Raw genomic sequence first — 23,393 nt, 5'->3', positions numbered from 1 at the left:
CACAATAAAGTGAGTCGCACAAATTTTTTGGTTTCCCAGTGCATATAGAAGTCATGTTTATACTATTCTATAGTCTAAGTATGCAACAGCGTTATGTCTAAAAATGTACGTCTCTTAATGAAAAAATACTTAATTGCTAAAAATGCTAACAATCATCTGAGCCTTCAGCAAGTTGTAATCTTTTTGCTGGTGGAGGGTCTTGCTTTGATGTTGATGGTGGCCGACTGATTAGGGTGTTGGTTGCTGAAGATTGGGAGGTCTGTGGCCATTTCTTAAAGTAAGACAACAATGAAATTTGCAGCATCAATTGACTCTTTCACAGAAGATTATTCTGTAGCATATGATGCTATTTGATAGCATTTTACTCACAGTAGAATTTCTTGCAAACTTGGAGTCAATTCTCTAACTTTCCCACTGCTTTATCAACTAAGTTTATGTAATACTCTAAATCCTTTGCTGTCATTTCAACAATGTTCACAGCATCTTCACCAGGTCTAGCAGATTCCATCTCAAGAAACTACTTATTTGATCATCTGTAAGAAGAAGCAACTCCTCATTCTTTCATGTTTGATCATGAGATTGTAGCAATTCAGTCACATCTTCAGGCTCCACTTCTAATTCTAGTTGTTTTGCTATTTCCACCACATCTGCAGTTACTTCCTCCACTGAAGTCCTGAACCCCTCAAAGTCATCCATGAGGGTTGGAATCAACTTATTCCAATATCTTGTTAATGTTGATATTTTGACCTCCTCCCATGAATCACAAATGTTCTTACTGGTATCTGGAATAGTGAATCTTTTTTAGAAGATTTTCAATTTACTTTGCTCACATCTATGAGAGGAATCACTATCTATGACAGCTATAGCTTCATAAAATGTGTTTCTTAAATGGTAAGACTTGAAAGTTGAAATTACTTCTTAATTCATGGGTTGCAGAATAGATATTGTGTTAGCAGGCATGAAAACATTAATATCCTTGTTCATCTTGATCGGAGCTCTTAGATGACTAAGTACACTGACAATAAGCCCTAATATTTTGAAAGAAATCTTTTTTTTTTTTTTTCTGAGAAGCAGGTCTCAACTGTGGGCTTAAAATATTCAGTAAACCATACTATAAACAGATGTGCTGTTTCCCAGGCTTTGTTGTTTCACTTACAGAGCACAGGCAGAGTACATTCATCATAATTCATAAGGGGTCTAGGATTTTCAAATGGCAGATGAGCATTGGTTTCAACTTAAAGACACCATCTGCGTTAGTGCCTAACAAGGAAGTCAGCTTGTCCTCTGAAGCTTTGAAGCCAGGCATTGACTTCTCCTCTCCAGCTAGGAAAGTCCTAGATAGCATCTTCTTCCAATAGAAGGCTGTTTCATCTCCACTGAAAATCTGTTGTTCAGTGTAGCCACCTTCATCAATGATCTTAGCTAGATCTTCTGGGTAACTTGCTGCAGCTTTTATATCAGCACTTGCTGCGTCACCTTACACTTTTATATTACGGAGATGGCTTCTTTTCTTAAACCTCATGAACCAACCTCTGTTGGTTTCAAAGTTTTCTTGTGCAGTTCCTCACTTCTCAGCCTTCATAGAATGGCTTAAGTGAATATTGTGGCTGGTATGATTTTCTATCCAGACACTCAAACTTTTTCTATATTAGCAATAAGGCTGTTTTGCTTTCTTATCATTTGTGTGTTTACTGGAGTAGCACTTCTAATTTCCTTCAATAACTTTTCCTTTGTATTCACAATTTGACTAATCATTTGGCCTAGCTTTCAGTCTGTTTCAACTTTCAACATGCCTTCCTCACTAAGCTTAATCATTTATGGCTTTTGATTTAACATGAGAGTTGCGGGACTTTTCCTTTTACTTGAACACTTAGAGGCCTTTATAGAGTTATTAATTGGCCTAATTTCAATATTGTTCTGTGTCAAGGAGTAGGGAGGCCTGAGGAGGAGAGAGATGGGAAAATGGCCGGTTGGTGGAGCAGTCAGAACGTATACAACATTTACCAACTAAATTCATTGTCGTATGTGTGTGTGACTTGTGGCACTTGAAAATAATTACAATAGTAATATCAAAGATTGCTGATCACAGATCATCATAACAGATTAATAACAATGAAAAGTTCGAAATATTGTGAGAATTTTCAAACTATGACAGAGACATAAAGTTAGCACATGCTTTTGGAAAACTGGCATGATAGACTTGCTTGAAGCAGGATTGCCACAAACCTTCAATTTGTGAAAAACAAAGTGTCTGCAAAGAGCAATGTAATAAAACGAGGTATGCCTGTATTTCCATTTCTTCTGGAATGAATGTATCCCAAATATTGATTTTCTTGGCTCCCTTTCTTAATGTTAGTTTTCTTTAATTGTTTTAGAATTTTAACTTGTGTGATGTACATTTCAAGTGGCATCACACACACTTTCTCTCTTCTTGCTATACCTTTCCCTCCCTGCTTGGTCACAGGGCCCCAGTCCACAACTTGGTTTTATGTTGGTGGCCCTGAACTTTTATCTTACGATGATATTCAGATATTACAGATTTAGTCACTGAATCAGGAGGCAGGTTGGCCCAAGTCTTGGTCATACCTGCTTGTTCCTACTTTTCTAGATGCACATTTATATAAGCCCTAACCTTAGGTAACAGCTGCACCTTTTTTTAGGGCAGAAGTTCCTCACCGCATTTAGGTTCAAGCAATAAGCCTGGATCCAGGCACCAACCACCTAGGGCCCTTTTACTCCCAATACTGCAGAGGAGTTATCTTGCCTATCTGTGTGTGTCTCCAGAGCCCACAAGCTCACAGCTTTAGTAACTACTGTGTTATATTTCTGGTCTGTTTCTAGCACATAGATATTTATTTTTCTTTATGTATGTATGGGCATGTGGTTTACTTTTTTTAAAACTTTCTTTTAAATTCGTTCTTAAAATATTTTATTTATAATTGCTAAGTGTTTGGAGTGCAGGTAGCGACTTCAAAGCATGAGCTTACAATGTCATTTTGATCTGCAGAGGCAGGCTCTGGGGATGAAAATAGCAGCAGTTCCTATGATGCCATCTTTGAGACATCTACCATTACCGCTACTGCTATGTTGATATTGTCCTTTGTTTCCCATCTATCAAGCATTATTCTCCTAAAAATGGCTCTGTGTCTGACAAAGCCCACTCAACATAGATTAATTCTCTCTTAAATGACTTTATTAAGCTCATTAATGATTCACTTAGCAACCCCTTTTGTAATAAATTTGCAATATTCTCTAAAGAAATCGATCTGGAGAAAAGCCAGAGTGATTTAGGAAGGAACATGGTTTAAAAATGAGTGAGTCATTCTCAAAAGCACACAACATGGCTGTAGAAATATTTTAATATGTTTATATCTTCCACAGATTAAACTAAGATCCTTTGCCAATAAAAAGACAAACAATAGAAAATTCCTACAGATTAAGAATACCAACCAAGATTTCAGTGAACTTACTTGCTTCAGCTCTGGGAGAACAGTTATGACATGGTGCTGAATTACATCAGTGAGGAACTAGAGGTGAGACTGGGATACAGGGGAATTTGGGTTTAGAATCCCCTTAGCAATGCAGTATGCAAATCATGAAACAGCATAAAGACACATGAATTATGCAAGAATATATAAGGGGTTTCCAGAGAAACATCAATTTCCATTATTAAAAATGGTTTGGTAAAGCAGTCCAAAAAATCATTTTTGGCAGGTCACTATTTTTAAGTGAGTTATTTGAAGTTCATCTACATTTTTTTCCCAGCGTTACACTTGGTGGTTAGGACCCCTTGTTACAAGGGGCCATATTAACACATAATTGTGGAAATGGACAAAGAAACAATTTTAATTCATATGGTAAGAGACAGGATAAAGATATGCAGGTGAGGGGTTCCCTAACACAGTCTATGAAGGTCAGAGAAGACTTCCTAGAGGAGGTAATGTCAGAGCTAACCTTTCGTGGAAAAATAACCATGCATCAGGCAAAATGGGGTGGTGGTGGCAGGTAAGAGTAAGGGGAGTTGCAGTATTTCAAGTATGGAGAAAAATAGGGTCATGACATACATGATTATTACTTTTCAGATGACCAGCATCTGCACCCTCTTCCTTTTTTATGTTAACATGATGATTTTATTTTTTAAATTTTTATTATTAATATACAATATTTGCACATATTTATGGGATACATGTGATATTTTGTTAAATGCATAGAGGGTGTAATGATCAAATCTGGGCTTTCTATCACCTTGAGCATTTATCATACCTATGTGTTGGGGACATTTCAAGACCTCTCGTATAGCTATTTTAAGATAATACAATACATTGTTGCTAACTATAGTTATGTTACTCTGCTATGGAACATTAGAATTTTTTCCTTCTGTATAACTATATGCTTGTACCCACGAACCAACCTCTCTTCATCCTCCCACCTCCAACCCTTCCCAGTTTACCCCCTTCCTTATATTGCACCGACTTCCTTTGGAGAATTACCTCTTCCTGTACCTGTCCTCCATAGTTGTATTATTGGCAGGAGGTAATGTAGGGGTCGCTTCCTTCTACTAGGGAGTTGAATGAATCACATTCTCCTTTAGCTGACCTCGGTACAACCATGGTACGAAGCTGCGGTGTACCGCTCAGATGCTTTTTGCTGAAACTTTGTTCCTGATCCAAGGCTGGACCGAAGCCTGGGAGGAAATTCATTGCAAGGTGGCAGGCCTGCTGGACTGTTCCTATTAGAACATTCTTGCTATACTTTCCTCCCAAGTGTCCACTGTTCCTGCCTTTTCCCAAACTTCAACCCTCAAATCATTTCAGTAAATTTCATTTTGTTTTTAAATGGTGAAACTATTTCATTTTGGGAGACAGCAAGAAGTTCAGCATGGGTGGAGCACAGCACATGCATAGTGGTAGGAGGAGGTCGTTGAGAGGCTAGAGAGATGGGTGGACTAGAAAGTGTCTTTTTTTTTTTTTTCCTGAGATGGAGTTTTGCTCTTGTTGCCCAGGCTGGAGTGCAACGGTACAATCTCAGCTCACTGCAACCTCCACCTCTTGGGTTCAAGCTATCCTCCTGCTTCAGCCTCCTAAGTAGCTGGGATTACAGATATGTGCCACCGTGCCCAGCTAATTTTGTATTTTTAGTAGAGACAGATTTCACTATGTTGGTCAGGCTGGTCTTGAACTCCTGACCTCAGTTGATCCACCCGCCTCAGCCTCCCAAAGTGCTGGGTTTACAGGCGTGAGCCACTGCACCTGGCCTAGAAAGTGTCTTATATGACATCAGAAGCATCCCAACTTTATTCCCTAGGCATTGGAAAGCCTCTGAATGATTTTAAGCATGAACAGATTAATATTATTTTTGTGGCAGCTCCATGGTGAACTATTTGGAAAAGGGTGGGAGAGAGGACAAGATTCAAAGGAGGGAGAGGGTACCTAGAGAAGATGCAGTAATCTAGGCAAGAAGGGATGATGGCTTGAGTTTCCAGGAGCTGGACTACTCAGTAGATGGACTATTCATGAGGAAGGGTGAAATGTGAGCCCTTGCTGTCAGGTATGGAGAGCTAAAAGAACAATGGATCCATACCAGAGATAAGGAGTATAGAGAGAGGGGCAGGAGTGTGTGTGTGTATGTTAGCTGGAGGGCTCAGCTTTGGTTCCAGTTCCTAACTTTGGACAAGCAACGGCTCTTCTGCTGCTGCAGCAGTGAGGAAACATCTGTCTACCAACTAAGATGCTGACTAACGTGGTCCAGGCTGGTGATTCCACCTGGGCAGGCCTGGTCTGAAAGGTGGGCCTGGAGCCTAGTGGAGAGAGACAAGCTGGGCATGGTGGGCCGTGGTTTGGTGAGAGTTCCAAGAAGTTCAGACATAAGAGGCCAGGCCTCCTGCCAATATAAGTGCTGTTGCCTCTGCTCACTCCTTTATCCCTCTGGTGGCCCCCAGGGCTGGTCTGTCTTGTTCCCTTTCCCCCTCCCCACACCTGTTGCCTCCTGCAAGATTTCCATCTTTCAGTGACGCACTGAAAAGTTCCTCTGACAGTGGAGAGAATGGTTTTGGTTTAGAATTGAACTGGGGTCCACACAACAAGTGTTTGGCTTCCTTGGTGGCAGAAGTAGGACTAGGAAACAGAAGTAACATCTGGTTCAAGATTGTTTATTGAGTTGATTGGTGCCAAGGTAGTTTAAGGCACCAGACCGTGTGACCATACTTTGCCTACTTTTACGGAGCTCACAGCCTGAGATTTCTTTACATTCTGGCAAAGTAGTTACTGGTAAAACTCAGTTTTGCAGAACATGGCATTCTAGAAGCAAAGGGAAAAATTACAGTTCCAAGGGAGAACTTTCATTCTATTGGGGAAAAGTCTATGGGGAAAAAGAACAACTTCCCTTTTCTTCTTCCTCATTTCCTTGGAAGTAGAAAAGAGGTACTCAAAATGCTCAGACCACCTCATCTCTGTACTTTACCATAAAATGCTTTGATTCCAGGACATCATTTCATGTCAGCTTTGGCTTATGGATCTAGGAAGAACATGGGGTCGTTGTAGACAGGAAAGGGCAGATCCCAAAGATAATTTTAAAGCAGGGCAATCTAGTTTTTAACATGAGGTGTGTTTTCTCCAACCTTATTTTTCTTTGGACTTCTCATCACAAATGATAATATGCTTATCATTTTGAATGATATTTGCTTATCACTTATATCTTCTCCTGGATTAAGAACTTCTTGAAGACATGACCTTGGTTTTACTCACTTTCTTACATTGTAGGGCCTCATGCAGAGCCTAGCACCCAATTAAAAAAGCTCAGTAAGTGATTGTGAAAAAGATGTGAATGATTTTCAGAAACTTCCTTATTCTTCATGTTTCCCTCCCTGCCTCCCCTTTCTAGAAGGCCCTCACCTATTCAAACTTAAGGATAAGGGAAGCGGAGGAGAGCATATTCAGGGATCTAACACTTCCCTACAGGAATCTGTATCCCTTACCTAGTTCTGACTTCTCCGTACCAGGAAAAGAATCTATTATTCAGTGAAGCCTCTGAAACTTATTAACATTAAGGTCCTTAATGACTGGTAACGGCATGCTTCCTTATCAAAACAAACCCTTTTATTGATAATATAAGGCTAAACCTTGATTTTTTTCTCTCTTTTTTCTGAATCTCCCCAATTTCTCTTTCTTTCTGATCACCTCTGTATCACTTTCCAATCACCTACTCACAAAGAGATTGAATAATTTTCAGCCTCTCTTGGTTTTTAGTAAACTCTCATTTGGGGTTATTTTAAGAGACAAGCAATGGTCTGAATGTATATTAAGAAGTCTAAGAAGATAGGACAGTCTCTAAATTAATTCATCTTTTAAATAAAAGAAAGCAGCAAGTCTTCTAAGGGACAAAAGAGAGGGAAAAAAGTCTAGGCTTATGCACCTGTAGCAGGCCCAGCCAATGTGTAGCTATGCTGTTGCAGAATCTTAGAATCACTAGTGTGTGCTGTACTTTGATGTTCACCTAGCTTTTGTGTGTGCTTTATTTCCCTTTCTAATTTCTCCTTAGAATCTTAGCAAAATTCTTTTGAAAAGCCCACCATATGTCAGCTGAACCAAAAGAGGGAGAAGAAAGGGAGCTTTGTGTACATTTAGATGAGAAAACAAGACTTGTGGTAAGAGTCTGATATAGCCCAGGGCTGGGATTTCTAATTTTGGGGGGTGCCAGACTCCTTTGAGAATCTTATGAAAACTACGGACTCCTTTCTTAAAAGAATGTACATATGCACAAAAGTTTGTGTCCAGTTTTAGGGAGCCAGAAGGCTCTGTAGATCCCAAGTAAAGAACCCCTCTCTTGGCAGGAGGAGAAACTGTGGGTGAAAGCTGATATTGGTTGAGGCCCTCATTCCTTCCAACCTGAATCAGTTCTTTTCTGAGATAATTTTTGTCTTGTCCCTTGGATTATTTTATTCCATCAAGATCACTGTGATTAATAGGTTACATTTATTATTTGTTAGCATGTGATCTCACTTAATCCTGCCAACAACCTCATGAGGTAATTCTATTATTTGCATTTTGTAGATGAACCTGAGATTTATCAAGGTTCAGGAACTTGTCCTCAGGTCCGACAGCAATTAATTCAAATCCAGCCCATGCCCTTAATCCCTTTGCTAAACTCGTCCATATTTTTTGTGTTCTGTTGTTTTTAAGGATGAGATTCCTTCACACATCTCAATGATAAAGAACACCAAGATGGTCCCCAGTTTTACAACCATGTACAGATGCATCCATTTCTATGAATGTCATATTCTTAACAGAGCAAGCTGTTTTCAGAATGTTCAACTGCCATTCTTTTTGACATTCTGGGCAAACCCAGCCCTGTAGGGACTCTTTTTCCAATAAGTGCTTGTCAGAGGCAAAGAAGATGATATTGTTCTCATTAGAGGACAACTGATGTCCTTCATTTCCATAACTATTATTTGAGCACCTACTGTAAGCCAAGGCCCTATGTTGGTACCTCAGTAGATCTCTCTGCTTATTGCTGACAACTCAGTGGGGGAATGGACACTGCTTAGGCAAATGTTGACCAGAATTGGTATATTTCAGACCAAAACTTCTGCAGAGTAATGGTTCAGGAGACTTAAAGTTTTCCTCCTAAATAACACGAATGGAGTGATCAGAACTTGAAGGGGAGAAGTTTATATTGCTATTGGAATGTAACCCTCATTAAGGAACAAAGAAAGATGAACTGGAGAGGGGCCTGGGCTTGAGCTTCCCTTATGGTTTTCCCATAAATTCACCATTATAGCTGGGAAAGCTATCAGCAGCCACAGCGTATTAGCCCATTTTCACGTGCTGATAAAGACATACCAGAGACTGGGCAATTTACAAAAGAAAGAGATTTAATGGACTTACAGTTCCATGTGCCTGGGGAGGCCTCACAATCACGGCAGAAGGCAAGGAGGAGCAAGTCACATCTTACATGGATAGCAGTAGGCAAAGAGAGTTCATGCAGGGAAATTCCCCTTTTTAAAACCATCAGATCTTGTGGGATTTATTTACTGTCATAGGAACAGCACAGGAAAGACCAGCATGAGAAGAACAGCATGGGGTCCTTCTGACAACATGTGGGAATTCAAGATGAGATTTGGGTGGGGACACAGCCAAACCATATCATTCCACCCCTTACCCCTCCCAAATCTCATGTCCTCACATTTCAAAACCAATGATGCCTTACCAACAGTCCCCTAAAGTCTTAACACATTTTAGCATTAACTCAAAAGTCCACAGTCTAAAGTCTCATCCAAGACAAGGCAAGTCCCTTTCACCTATGAGCCTATAAAATCAAAAGCAAGTTAGTTACTTTCTAGATACAGGGCGGGTACAGGCATTGGGTAAACACAACCATTCCAAATGGGAGAAATTGGCCAAAACAAAGGGGCTCAGGCCCATGCAAGTCCAAAATCTAGCAGGGCAGTCAAATCTTAAAGCTCCAAAATGATCTTCTTTGACTCCATGTGTCACATCCAGGTCAGGCTGATACAAGAGGTGGGCTCCCATGGCATTGGGCAGCTCTGCCATGTGGCTTTGCAGGGTATAACCTCCCTCCTGGCTACTTTCACAGGCTGGACTGGTGTTGAGTGTCTGTGGCTTTTCCAGGCACACAGTGCAAGCTGTCCGTGGATCTACCATTCTGGGGTCTGGAGGTTGGTGGCCCTCTTCTCACAGCTCCACTAGGCAGTGTCCCAGTAGCAACTCTCTGTGGGGGCTCTGACCCCACATTTCTCTTCCACACTGTCCTGGCAGAGGTTCTCCATGAGGGCCCTGCCCCTGCAGCAAACTTCTGTCTGGACATCCAGGCATTTCTATATATCTTCTGAAATCTAGGCGGAGGTTCCCAAACCCCAATTCTTGACTTCTGTGCACTTGTAGGCTCAACACCACATGGCAGCTGCTAGGGCTTGAGGCTTGCACCCTCTGAAGCCATGGTTCGAGTTCTACGTTGGCCCCTTTCAGCAATGCTGGAGTGGCTGGGAAGCAGGGCACCAAGTCCCTAGGTTGCACACAGCAGACGGACCCTGGGACCAGCCCATGAAACCATTTTTTCCTCCTAAACCTCCAGGCCTGTGATGGGAGGGGCTGCTGCAAAGGTCACTGACATGCCCTGGAGACATTTTCCCCATTGTCTTGGTGATTAACATTCTGCTCCTCATTACTTATGCAGATTTCTGTAGCTGGCTTGAATTTCTCCTCAGAAAATGGGATTTTCTTTTCTATTGCATTGTCACGCTGCAAATTTTCCAAACTTTTATGCTCTGTTTCCCTTTTAAAACTGAATGCCTTTAACAGCACCCAAGTCACATTTTGAATGCTTTGCTGCTTAGAAATTTCTTCTGCCAGATACTCTAAATCATCTCTCTTAAGTTCAAAGTTCCACAGACCTCTAGGGCAGGGGCAAAATTCTGCCAGTCTCTCTTTGCTAAAACATAACAAGAGTCACCTTTGCTCCAGTTCCCAACAAGTTCCTCATCTCCATCTGAGATCACCTCAGCCTGGATTTCATTGTCCATATCATTATCAGCATTTTGGTCAAAGCCATTCAACAAGTCTCTAGGGAGTTCCAAACTTTCCCTCATTTTCCTGTCTTCTTCTGAGCCCTCCAAACTGTTCCCACCTCTGCCTGTTACCCAGTTCCAAAGTCGCTTCCACATTTTCAGGTATCTTTTCAGCAATGCCCCACTCTATTGGTGTCAATTTACTATATTAGTCTGTTTTCACACTGCTGATAAAGACATACCCAAGACTGGGCAATTTACAAAAGAGAGAGGTTTAATGGATTTACAGTTCCATGTGGCTGGAGAGGCCTCACAATCATGGCAGAAGGCAAGGAGGAGCAAGTCACGTCCTACGTGGATGGCAGCAGGCAAAGAGAGGCCTTGTGCAGGGAAACTCCCTGTTTTAAAACCATCAGATCTTGTCAGACTTATTCACTATAATGAGAACAACACAGAAAAATGTGCCCCCATGATTCAGTTACCTCCCACTGGGTCACTCCCACAACATGTGAGAATTCAAGATGAGATTTTGGTGGGGACACAGCCAAACCATATCACATGGTGTGGCTGAATAGGACAGGTACACACCCACTTTGCAGTGTGGGCCATTAACAACTGTGGGGCATGCCATTTTATTGATAATTGTATTACACAATATAGAATTGTAAGATTTAACAGGTAAAAGGGCGATGTTAAGAATGTGTTGTGCCAGGTGTGGTGGCTGATGCCTGTAATCCCAGCACTTTAGGAGACCAAAGTAGGTGGATTGCTTGAGCCAGACAGACCAGGCTGGCCAACATGGCAAAAACTCTGTTTTTACAAAAAATACACAAAATTAGCCAGACATGGTGGTGCACGCATGTAATCCCAACTACTTGGGTTGAGCGGGGAAGATTGATTGAGCCTGGGAGGTGGAGGCTGCAGTGAGCTGAAATTGCATCACTGCATTCCAACCTGGGCAACAGGAGTGAGACTCTGTCTCAAACAATACAAACAACAACAACAAACCAGAATGAGTTGTGTAGAAGATTTTAGATTTCATTCTAGGCCAGGGCTCACCAGGTAGGATTCCTCACTTTCCTCACCTTTCCCATTTTCCAAATCCTAAGTGTGACAAAGACACATAGCACACCCTCCAGCCTTTTAGAACACACTACACACCTCTTGCACAGGGGAGAACAGGCCTGCCCTCATTGTTCTTTTAAAACAAATAATTCTTATAAGATGTTGCATCATGTCAAATATAAACACAGGAATTGTCTTGGTGCACACAAAGCACATCTGAAGAAGTGGCTTTGATGAATTGTTTTTGTTTGAAAAGTTAATACATATTTCCAGGGAGAATGAGCTATTCTAAATAGGATATTTTCTTTCATTCATACACAGTCACAAAATTCAGCAAAACTCCATGTAGGTGGTATTCATGCCATGTCACAAATGCACAAAAAGCAGGATCTTCTCCACAAATGCAGATGTTGCCTTCACTCTTCCTAGCTGACATTTGTTTTTACAGTGGTGAGAGTCAAGGATAGTGCCACCTCTCCCTGTGAACATCCTTCCCCACGAAGCTCAGGAGCCTGTGCCATTTAAATATATGTCTTGTGCCCTGAGAGTTAATGCTGGCGGTACCTTTAGGTGCAGTTATTTCCTCACTAGCTCAGAAAAACCAGAATGTAGCTTTTTCAAATAGGCAGAATGGAGCTTTTGAAAATGCAAATGTGTGTGTGCGCTTGAGACAGAGGATGGCTTATAATTAATGAATTTTGTGTATTGCTTTTTGTGTGTGGGGGGGTCAGCTCAATAAAAAACACATTGCCTTTTTTTTGTCAGTGACAGATATTCTTATCAGAAACAAGGCTCTTATCGTACTAGTTTCCCTCTGACAGAAGAACAAGGGACTGCTGTGCATGGTGCTGATGGGGAGTGCAGAACAGACACTGGGAGTGGCCAGGGGTTTCTTTAAAGACCATCTGAAAACATTGGCATATTTATTGGAATAGTCATTAAGAAGTATTTTACTTAATACTGCAGTGTGAGGTCCACTATAGGGTTAAAGTGGGGATTCCTCACTGTGGTCTGTAGTTTTTAAGGGGTAAACTTGCCAACTCTTTAGAAGAGACTGAACACCCATCACCTACTTTGTAGATGGTAAATTTAAAAAAAAAAAGCAAAAGAAACACATTTCTTTCCATGGACTTTCTGAACTTATTCATTTTTAACATAAATTTAGTATCCTCCATGAACATTCAAGAAACAATGCCAGCTGGGCACAGTGGCTCATGCCTGTAATCCCAGCACTTTGGGGACGCCAAGGCAGGCGGATTGCCTGAGGTCAGGAGTTTGAGATCAGCCTGGGAAATATGTTGAAACCCCGTCTCTAAAACACAAAAAACAAAAAATTAGCTAAAAACACAAAAAATTAGCCAGGCATGGCAGTGCACACCTGTAATCTCAGCTACTCAGGAGGCTGAGGCAGGAGAATCTCTTGAACCTGGGAGGCAGAGGTTGCAGTGAACCAAGATTGTGCCACTGCACTCCAGCCTAGGAGATAGAGCAAGACTCTGTCTCAAACGAAACAAAACAAAACAAAACAAAAAGAAACAATGCAGAAAACACTAAGTAGAAGTTTAGGGGCTCAAAAAGAGACCTCATCTCACTGAAGTAAAGGCTGAAGAGCAAGGGCCCTCTCTGTGGGGTGTGTATGTGGTGAGCAGGGGTCATGTTTCTGAGACCCTTTCTGAGCAGTTGCCTTTGTGAAATTCTTTTACCTGGTGACTAGTTTGAGGACAGTCATTGAAAAATTTAGGGCTTCTAAACAGATTCCAAAATTGACGTTGATGTTTTACTTTCTGGAATAAAAATAATTCTAGAAGGTTCTTTTTCCTGAAGGTGTAGACACATGGAAGCTCTCTGAAATGAGTTTAATTAAGGAATTAGAAGTATCCTTTGGTATGCTGAGCAGTCTGCCCAATTTTCATTTATAATGAAACCTACCTAGTTGTGTGACTTGGCCCAGCTACTTTTATTTCTCTGTGCCTCAGTGTTCTCATCTGTAAAATGGAGATGCTAATAGTATCTACTTCGTGGAATTCTGAGGATCAGATGAATTGGTGGCTATAAAGCTTGTGGCACGTAAGAAGTACATAGTTAATGCTATGTGTTAGCCCTTCTTCTTCTTCCTTCTCCTCTTCCTCCTCCTCCTGCCCCCCACCCCCACCCTTCACCTACCCATCTTCCCTACCTCTAAGCAATTATTGTCACCAGATCATGTGATCACACTGATCTTCTAGCCCGAAATAGTCTCATAATTTTCCAAAAGAAAAATTCCCTTGAAAACAGAATAACCAAAAGAAGACAGAGAAAGAACTCACGTGTAAGATTCTCCTTTAGTCTTGCTTTTCTTCAGGTCTTCTCTCCAATCTCACAAGCCTAAGGGCCAGGGCTTGTTTTCCTTGCTTTGGCCAAGGAGGTTAGCCTGGTCTGGGGAGCCTGGTCTGGAGGAAGGAGCACTGGTCCCAGAGCCTTGTTCTGGTCTTTGTTCTGTTTTACCTCTGTGCAGGGTTGCGCAAGTCATTCCACCTCCCTGAGACTCGGTTCCCTCCAGTACAAATGAGAAGATTGGACTAATCGATCTTTAGGCCTCTTCACAGTTTGGACAGCCTGGGGTTTCAGCCCCCTTTGAACCTGCAAACTGCATGTATAATTAAATATCTCCTGACTGGAAATGTCCTCTGAGCTCAGGATGGGCAATATCTAAGATTCGGGGTGTCAGTGCATTTCAGCCCTATTAACGCCTGTATTTAGGATGGGAGCTTCGTCTGTCCCAGGGCTGTGGTCATCATTCACCACCGGGAATCTATAATGACTGTGAGCCATTCCCTTTTTCTCTCCTGACCCTGACCCCAACTTCTTGGGACTTCCCCTTAGGAACAAAGCAAGAAGTGCTCAGATGAAGGCGCTGTGCTATGATGAGCAAGGCCACAGAACACTGTGACTTGGCAGAGCCGGCACGGTCAGTCAGGGAGAGTGTCACTGAAGAAAGTAAATCCATCAGCTCCCCTTATTACTATGTAAATGAATTTATCGTGACTGGGGGGCGGGGCAAGGACAGGGAGGCCTCCTGGAGTCCCAAGGGCTTCAGCCCTTCTGATTTGCTGGGAGAGCTGCAAACAGGAAGACAGCCCAGGACCACACCTATGTTTGAGAGCAGCTCCAGGGGCAGCTCTGCAGGGAGTGTGGCATGCCCTGGGGGTGTCGTCATCATTGCCATCTTAGCACTAAGTGTTTCACTGGACTCAGTCTTTCCAGCAGTGTCCTGAGAAGAGTGTCCTAAGTATGGGGTGGGACAGGGTGGGCACTGGAGAAGAGGAAGGGTTTTTTTTTTTTTTTTTTTGAGATGGAGTCTCATTCTGTTGCCCAGGCTGGAGTACAATGCCATGATCTCGGCTCACTGCAACCTCCGCCTCCCGGGTTCAAACAATTCTCCTGTCTCAGCCTCCTCAGTAGCTGGGATTACAGGTGCATACCACCACGCCCGACAAATTTTGGTATTTTTAGTAGAGATGGGGTTTCACCATATTGGTCAGGCTGGTCTCAAACTCTTGACCTCAGGTGATCCACCCACCTCGGCCTCTCAAAGTGTTGGGATTACAGGCATGAGCCACTGCGCCCAGCTAGGAAGGGGTGATTTTGGAACAGAAGTAGCATGGAGGGTAGAAAAACCATGAGGCAATGGTAGAAAAACCATGAGGGTAGAAAAACCTGGGGAGGGGAGATGCTGTTGGCAGGAGCTGATGCGGAGGCAGAGACAGATGGACATCCTGCTAAGATGGCAGTTTCTACATTGAAGTAATCAATGCCTGTGATTAGGCCTGAAGGAGTGCTTTCCGGGAGTGCTGGAGCTGTTCGTGTCCCTGGAGCTCGGGGCCCTGGCAGGGGTTTGCTCACGGTGGCTGCTCTTGCGCTCTCACATTTCTGTCTTCCTGCCCTGGCTCATGGATCTCCACGTGCCCACACCACCCCCCTCCCAACCCAGTTCTGATCATAGTTTTAGCTTGTAAGTTTGCTCAGAGACAGTTTAATTTCATTTCTTCTTACAGGCAAGGAACCTGAGGTCCAGAGATGTGAAGAGAGGTGGCTGATGTCACACAGCAGGGCAGGACTGGAACCCACGTCTATGACCACTGATTCAGTGCCAAAGGGAGAGAAGGGGGAAGGGGATTCAAATTTATTTAGAGCTTTTCTGTCCTCAGCAGAGAGAGCTCTAGTTACTTGTATATCAGCTATTTCATTCAATGTTACTCTGTGGGGTAGGTATTATCATCCCACTTTACACATGAGGGAGTTGAGATGTTGGAGAGGCAAATTAATTTGTGCTGACAAATTGTGAACCCTCATCAGATTCCAAGCCCCATCTTTGGGACCTTCACACTCATGTTCTTTCCTCTGTGCCTTGTAATACAAATGTCCAGCATTTCCATTACTCATGCAGCTGGTGAATCAAACCAACATTAAGCCTGTCCCTGGCTCTTCTCCCATCAAAACATGGCTGATCTATGCTCCATTCATTTTCCATCCTTGGGAGGTCATGAGTTTCAAACAAATTATTTGGCTTACACAGTACAGTACTGAAGTGAAATTTTGTCTTTTGTCCCTTCCAGGTATCCTAAGCAAGGGGTGTCTTCTGTCCCCAGGAGTTACTTGTCAATATTTTTGGCTGTACAATGATTGTGTGGTGGTACTGGCAATTAATATCCTGGGATTAAGGAGGCTGAACATCTTTTAATACTCTAGACAGTACTATACAATGAAAAAATATCCTAATCAGAATGTCAGTTGCACCCTGTCTGAAAAACATGGTACTTCTTTAAAATGAACGTGTCTTCCCAAAGACTGTGTTTCATTGCAGGAATTTGGGACAGAGGTAAGCCCTCTGGCTTTTGGTCTGGAGATCCTTGCTGCAGTAGGACATAGTAGATGACTGCATAGTGTTCAGAGAAGTCTGGCTCTGCTTAAATGCATCCTGTATAACGTTCCTACGTTCTCTAAGCTTCATTTCCCTATGTGTTAAATGGGGATAATTATAGCATCTGCCATACAAGGATTGTTGTATTGTTTTAATAAGTCACTATGTATGGAGGGCTTACAATAGTGCCTGGTATAATTAATCAATAGATGTTGGCTTCAATCCTATATATAATGTAATGCATTATACAGAATCATTAGGACTCCTTTGTAAAATGCTCAGTTATGTGTATTAACACTTTGAAATTCCAGGCCAGGCGTGGTGGCTCATGCCTGTAATCCCAGCACTTTGGGAGGCCGAGGAGTATAGCTCATTTGAGGTCAGGATTTTGAGACCAGCCTGGCCAACATGGTGAAACCCTGCCTCTACTAAAAACACAAAAAAATTAGCTGGGCATGGTGGCACATGCCTGTAATCCCAGCTACTCAGGAGGCTGAGGCAGGAGAATTGCTTGAACCTGGGAGACAGAGGTTGCAGTCAGCCGAGATTGTGTCACTGCACTCTAGCCTGGGCAACAGAGTGAGACTCTGTCTCAAAAAAAACAAAAACAAGAACAACAACAAAAAACACACACAAAAAAACAAAAAAGACTTTGAAATTCCTATTGTTTCTTTAAATTTGGAGTAAAAGAACCTCCCAAATTTTAGTATTCTTAAAATATCCACCAGCTATTGGAGAATAAGGGTTCTAGTAGAAGTTGAAGTGTTACAACTATATCAAATTTAAAAAAACCAGATACACCTATGAACATTTTCCCAGGCTTGAGTGATGCCTCTGGGAGTGAGTTGTCTCTTCTTATCTGGATCCTGGGATGGACACTGGTGTCCCTGGGGTAATCCATCTGCGCTCATGTCACATGCTATGGCTAGGAATAACCAGGAAATACTGGAGTGAGGATTCACACTGGCTCTTTTACATTTTCCCAAGGAGGAGGAGGAAAAGAAAGAGGAGGAGGAGGAGGATGGTTATAGTGGTTCTTACAAATCCCTCAGCTGGATGGCTGGATTTAGGGCTGGGCATTTGTGCTTTCAAGAGCCAGGTCATTCTAAAGGAATGTGAGAAGTGCATCTCTGAGGACAGAGATTAAACAGTGGGAAAATAGATAAGTGATCTGGGGGTCTGTCGACTAATTGCTAGCTAAAAGTTAACATTTCACTAGCTCCTGCTGAGAAGGTAATGGCCAGGCTTCACACATGGAGTTTTATTATGAGAAGAGAGAGTAGCAAGTGTGGGAAGATGAATTTATCATCCCTGCACACACACCACCTCAAAACACACCTGTTTTTTTCTTAAACAGCTCCTTGTTTAGCATTCTTACAAAAGGCATGATAATGTTGGAGGATCAATGTAACATACTGTAAGTGATAAGAAGTCCTAAATGTCCTAAATTTATTAAAGGCCTGTTGTGTCCTGGAAGCTGTACTAAAGCCTATGGAAGATGCAAAGAAGAACAAGGAGTGAGCCTTGGCCTCAAGAGATTTACAATATATTAAAACACCTAAGACACCAAATACGAGTGCTTTTCAGAGTGGTTCTTAGAATCACAGGTCTGTTACAAAAGGAGATTCTTAAGATCCAAAGCAGATGGGACCTAGGAATCTGCCTTTAAAACAAGCCCTCCAGGTAATTCTGATCTACCCTGTGGTTTGAGTAGCATTGGCCCAGAGCAAATGTAGGCTCTAAGCCTGGGGTATAAAGGCTTCAATTCTGTGTTATATAAGCAGTGTAGCCATATCTTGTAGGAGAGCATCAAGGCATATTTGAAAGAAGTGTGCAGCCTATAGGCCTCAAGATGAGAAATATGTGGCAGGTGTGTTTGCAAAGTGGGGGAATTAGCATTGGGAGGGAAAGAATAGCATGACCTTCGTGGTGACCAGTGGAATAAATAAATATAATCCCAATGTTTATGGAACGTCTTGTTGAGTTACTGATGTATTCATCATTAGGGTTTAAACCTAATGCTTTTTAGTGTGCTGTCAGATCAGGAGGGAAATCCAGAGGCTTGCTTCTCCACAAATATTTATCAATGGATGTTTTGGGAATTAAAACATGCCAGGAAATAGGGGCAAAGTACACAAGTGCCTGTCTTTGTGTGGGTAGGTTGTGTAGATTGGGATATTCACTGGATGGAATAGTTGGTGACCTGTATTTATTTGGGGTATTCCTGTTTGTGATGTTGAAGGCTAATTCCTAGGAGAAGAAACTGTGAAATTTGCAAAGAAGAATTTATAGAGGGCCAGTGAGCAGACAGAGGAATGATTGTGTTGGGAACAGGAGGCAGCTTGGGAAGCTCAGGAGTTGTTCTATTCCCTGGCTGTCTCCCCGGAGGACTTTCTGTGGCAGAATCCAGGGCATGTTGTCCAGCCTGGGATCAAGAGGCTAGGAAGGAGGTGTAGGAGTGTAAAGCCTAGAAGTGGACCTATGGCCGAGCAGAATGGTCCCTGCTTTCTGTGACTAAGGCAGCTCAGAGAGTGCTCAATTTAAGCCTGGAGTGGAAGTAGATGAACTTGCTGGAAAGGAGCATGATCCTCTGGTGGGGCTGCGGCAGAGTGGAAACGTGAGGACATGGAAGGAAACTGGTTCATGCTGAAAGCGCAAGTCCCGTTAACTGAATTGCAGAGAACAGTGTCTGTTAGCCTAACCTTGAACCCTGAGATGTTCCTCCACTGCTTTTATGTGACTAGCCATGGGAAAAAGGAGAAATAGAGTCGTAGGCTGGGAGAGTGATAGACTGGGGTGGAAATCTTTGGACAAATCCATTTCTTATTCTCTAGGTAGTAATGGGCCATGAGTTGAGGAGTCAATAGCAAGAACTCATAGGGGAAGACTTTGGTATGTGTTTGGGATTGTGCCTTTGGGAGTTTTTAAAATCCTGAGATGAGGGAACAGACTACTGTGAAGGCATGATGGATCCTGTGAACTGAACTTTTTACTCTGTCCTTGGGACAGTTATAAATTGAATGTTATCCTGGCTGGAAAACAAAGGACACTTAGTTTGCCCCTTTCCTGGCCCCTGATTGGGCACTTTGGCTCAAGGTAGACTGCACTATTTTTGTTTAGTAGCTTCTCCAGGCTGTTCTTTTTGTTACTGTAATAACTAGTTAAAGGTTGTGAAGCATGTTCTCCGACCTGTGTTATAACTCTTGATCCATCTGCAGGGCACTGGGTAACCTCATCCTCCTGGTCCTGGGTTTCTTTTTGGCCCCAAACAAGTGGTGAGGGGATGCTGGGCTCCATCACACCGGAGGTTCAATTTTGCATGGTGAGTAAACAAGCAGAGAAGGCTTAGAAGAGTCCCTTTTCCAGGAGTACCCCACAAGGCTGGTTTGAAGCAAGGCTGGAGCCCCAGAAAGCTGTTCTTTAGCTCCACAGTGGCAGCATGCCCTGTAGGAACCCCTCTGATCCTTTGTGACACTCTTGTTCACAGTCCTGTGAAACGGTGCTCTGTGGGAGACTCTAGTCTGCTAGGAGAGCTCCCTTATTCTCAGCACGGACAGAGGGAAACCATGAAGCAAGGGACCTAATTTATTTTTCAACAACACAACACACCAGTGCATACTCTTCCAAGTAAGTGAGTGTTAGCCCTTTCAAAGTAGCTCCAAAGTGGAGTGAAAATTCCCCCTTGTCCCTCTGTCATTTTCTCCGACTGTATTCAGTGAGGAAAAGTCTTTATGCTTGGAAGGTAAATTGATTCTCAAAGACCATCCACAGTCCTTAGGAGTCAGGTTCAGTAAAAAAAGTAGGCCTAATTGTAATATCCTAATATTATCTTCTTCATGTAAAATGGCTCTGAAAGCAATGACAACAATAATTCCAAAATGATTCCAAAAAATGGCAGCCCAGTTGAAATAATCCTTCAAGATGAATATTTTCATGATAATGTATAAGCCCCTTAGTAATGTGGCTAATCTATTTTTTAAACCTATTTCTCTCATATATATAATTCATATGCCTACTATTATTTGCCAACTAATACTAAATTTATAGTTCTCAGTGAGAATTGTTGTTTATCTAAAACAAACTGTTTCTGTATTTATAAGGTTCTTTACACAAATAAGGTGTTTAAAAAATTGGCTTTGAGCAAACAAAAATGCAGTATGATTTTACTAGAATGATTGCTTTGGTCAGCACAACTATGATGGACTAACAGCTTTTCTTCACTACATGTTGATAGAGTGAGAAGATTTAAAACAAGCATTATGTACATTAGCTGGGACACTTACTATTAGTGACAAATACTAGGAGAGAGGCTCTACTTGAACAGGCTCAAACTTAACTTAAAAATTATTTCTGCCTGTAATGGACCTTTTAGTTGTCTGAGCAATTGAGTGCTTTAAATAACCCCCATACATATCAAGGACATTCTAAATTTTTTTCCTTGGCATTTGGAAATTTCAAGTTAAGGATGCCTGCCCTTGCTCAAGTTACACACTCTTCAACTTGGGCAGTTGAGCAGAATTCAAAAGATAAGATGCGAATGAGTCTATCTATTCATGTCATCACACTTTGCTAAATTGCCAGGCTATTTGATGAAAGGATAGCTCAGTTCTCACTAAACTGCAAGTGGCTTTGGCAGATCTTTAGCTGGAATCCACTGAGGAGCTCTCATTTCTGAACACTGATTGGGAAACCAGTTGTATTTTAAAAGATTCTAACGATTTAGAAGCTCTGAGACCCCTTTAAATCTCTGTTTTGAGAGACCCATTGATTTATAGTAAAATATGAATGTAAGAGATGAACCTGTGGCATCATAACTAAGGGCGCTTGGCACTCTGGAAACTGGCTCAGAAGGTAATCAACATAGAGCTAGAGCCATAGTCTTAGTTTTTGCTGTAGTCAATCAAGCAAAGGGGAAATTTCTACTCAAAAACACATAAATAATTTTGATTTTTTCTGTATTACCTTGAAACTTCAAATGGGCTTATAAATAGGAAGAGAAAATATTGCCAGATGGGTTGTATTCAGTAGTTATTTTTAAATGAAATAAAAAATTATGGCTAAATCTATTGCCTAAAAATTGTGCTGTAAAATATGTAAATAGCCTGTATCATTAAAGCCTTTTCTTCGAGATACAAATAAATGGTTCAGAGTCCAAACTCTTCCTTAAGAGTTCAATTTACTTCTTCAAATTCCTTAAACTTGAGATAGGTTTTGCAGTTAAATACTCCTCATTTGCATGCTTAGTCAGAAGGGAGTATTATATATAGATTATATGGAATCTTAGCCTATTTACAAATAATGAATGTTACTGAAAATATTCTGTCATAGAGACACATGCGTGTGTATGTCCATCACAGCGCTATTCTCAATAGTAAAGACATGGAATCAACCTAAATGGCAATGATAGACCAGATAAAGAAAATGTGGTACAATAACACCATGAAGTACTATGCAACCACAAAAAAAAGAAGATCATGTCCTTTGAAGAAACATGGATGGAGCTGGAGGTTATTATCTTTAGCAAACTAATGCAGCAACAGGAAACCTAATACCACATGTTCTCACTTATAAGTGGGAGTTAAATGATGAGAACACATGGACACATAGAAGGGAACAACACACACTGGGGCCTATCAGAGGATGGAAGGTGGGAGGAGGGAGAGGATCAGGAAAAATAACTCATGGGTACTAGGCTTAATACCTGGGTGACGAAATATTTTGTACAACAACTCCCCATGATGCAAGTTTGCCTATATAACTAACCTGCACACATACCCCTGAATTTAAAATAAAAGTTAAAAAAGGACACATTATACAAACGATGTCAAAGGAAGTTTTGAAAACAAAAGTTACTCATGACCCCACTACCCCAGCATATTTTTTTATTTTTATGTATTATCTTCCAATTATTATTCATGTACATTCATATTCTTATGTACTTGCAATCATTATATGCACCATTTTATAGTCTACATTTTCATTTAGGATATCTGTGCTGGTTATTGGTTATATTATTGAGAATATTCAAAAAATACAAGAAAAATAAACAGGATGTTTGAAACTCATAAGATGTGTTAAGCACACATTGCTGTGTAAGCAAGTAGCTCATGTGATATAGGCAAAACTCACTAGCTGTGTTAGGCATGCAGATAAAGAAGAAGCAAGCAGACTGTGCAATGTGGGCAAAATATAGGTAGTGGGTATATGTTAAATATAGGTAGTGGGTAACCTGAAAGATGTGTTAAGAATGGAATGGAATATATAATGGAACAAATAAGATGAATACTTTTAGATAAAGAAGAAACAGAAAGATTAAATCATATGATTTGGTCACTTCTGGGATGACAGCTATGCCATCCCTAAATTGGCACCTAATAGGAACATCCATTATACCCACTATGGGCCCATATGTACTTGACCCCAAAAATGCAAATAAAAATCTATAGTTGCTCAGCAGGCTGTTTGGCAAGTTACAGCTATAGCCAGCTTTACTTGCCCTCAGATCTCTGTGGAGTATGAGCACATCTTAGCTCCAAGCACATTACATTTGCTGGGCCTCTTTTTTTAAACCTCATTTTGGGTCCTTATAACCACATCAGTAGCAGAGGAGGCTCATGTGGAGGAGAAAGAGACAAGGCATATGAACAATTGTGTAAGTAGGAATCAGGCAGTGTGGTCCTCCCAGTTGGCTTATATTTACCTTACCCTAAGTGTGTTAACCTAGCCTGTCTAGTTCCCCTTACATCTTGCCATGTGTTTTAAATAAATTTAATACATTGTGCAATATCAGCATCTTATTGCAAATATGTGAGTCTGTGACTCTTTCTATTCCATGACCCTGGGATAGCCTGCCCGGTAGTGTACTAGGAGGCTGCCATATGACAAGGGCTAGCAAATGAGCTAGGT

General features: G+C 41.7%; 1 long non-coding RNA gene across 3 annotated transcripts in view, besides 1 other annotated feature; it reads left to right on the top strand.

Annotated features, from left to right (window-relative positions):
* The window catches only part of LINC01331 (long intergenic non-protein coding RNA 1331), a 209,330-nt gene that overhangs the window by 2,831 nt on the left and 183,106 nt on the right, over positions 1–23,393 (top strand). Inside the window, exon 2 of one of the 3 annotated variants that reach the window (NR_197436.1) lies at positions 3,382–3,533. The exons of the other annotated variants lie outside the window; for them this stretch is intronic. This is a non-coding gene — a long non-coding RNA (long intergenic non-protein coding RNA 1331). The remainder of the gene's footprint in view (positions 1–3,381; positions 3,534–23,393) is intronic. 3 annotated transcript variants of the gene reach the window in all.
* Positions 17,382–17,941: an enhancer, noted in NCBI's record as "NANOG hESC enhancer chr5:73811827-73812386 (GRCh37/hg19 assembly coordinates)". NCBI's record gives its function as "activates a minimal SCP1, AML or CMV promoter by ChIP-STARR-seq in primed H9 embryonic stem cells {active_cell/tissue: H9 hESC(primed)}" and the evidence as "EXISTENCE:reporter gene assay evidence [ECO:0000049][PMID:30033119]".

This window comes from Homo sapiens, chromosome 5, assembly GCF_000001405.40.
Source record: "Homo sapiens chromosome 5, GRCh38.p14 Primary Assembly".
In the NCBI taxonomy this organism is placed as follows: Eukaryota; Metazoa; Chordata; class Mammalia; order Primates; family Hominidae; genus Homo; species Homo sapiens.
Note: the sequence above shows the minus strand (reverse complement) of the source record. Positions and strands in the feature narration are given on the sequence as shown.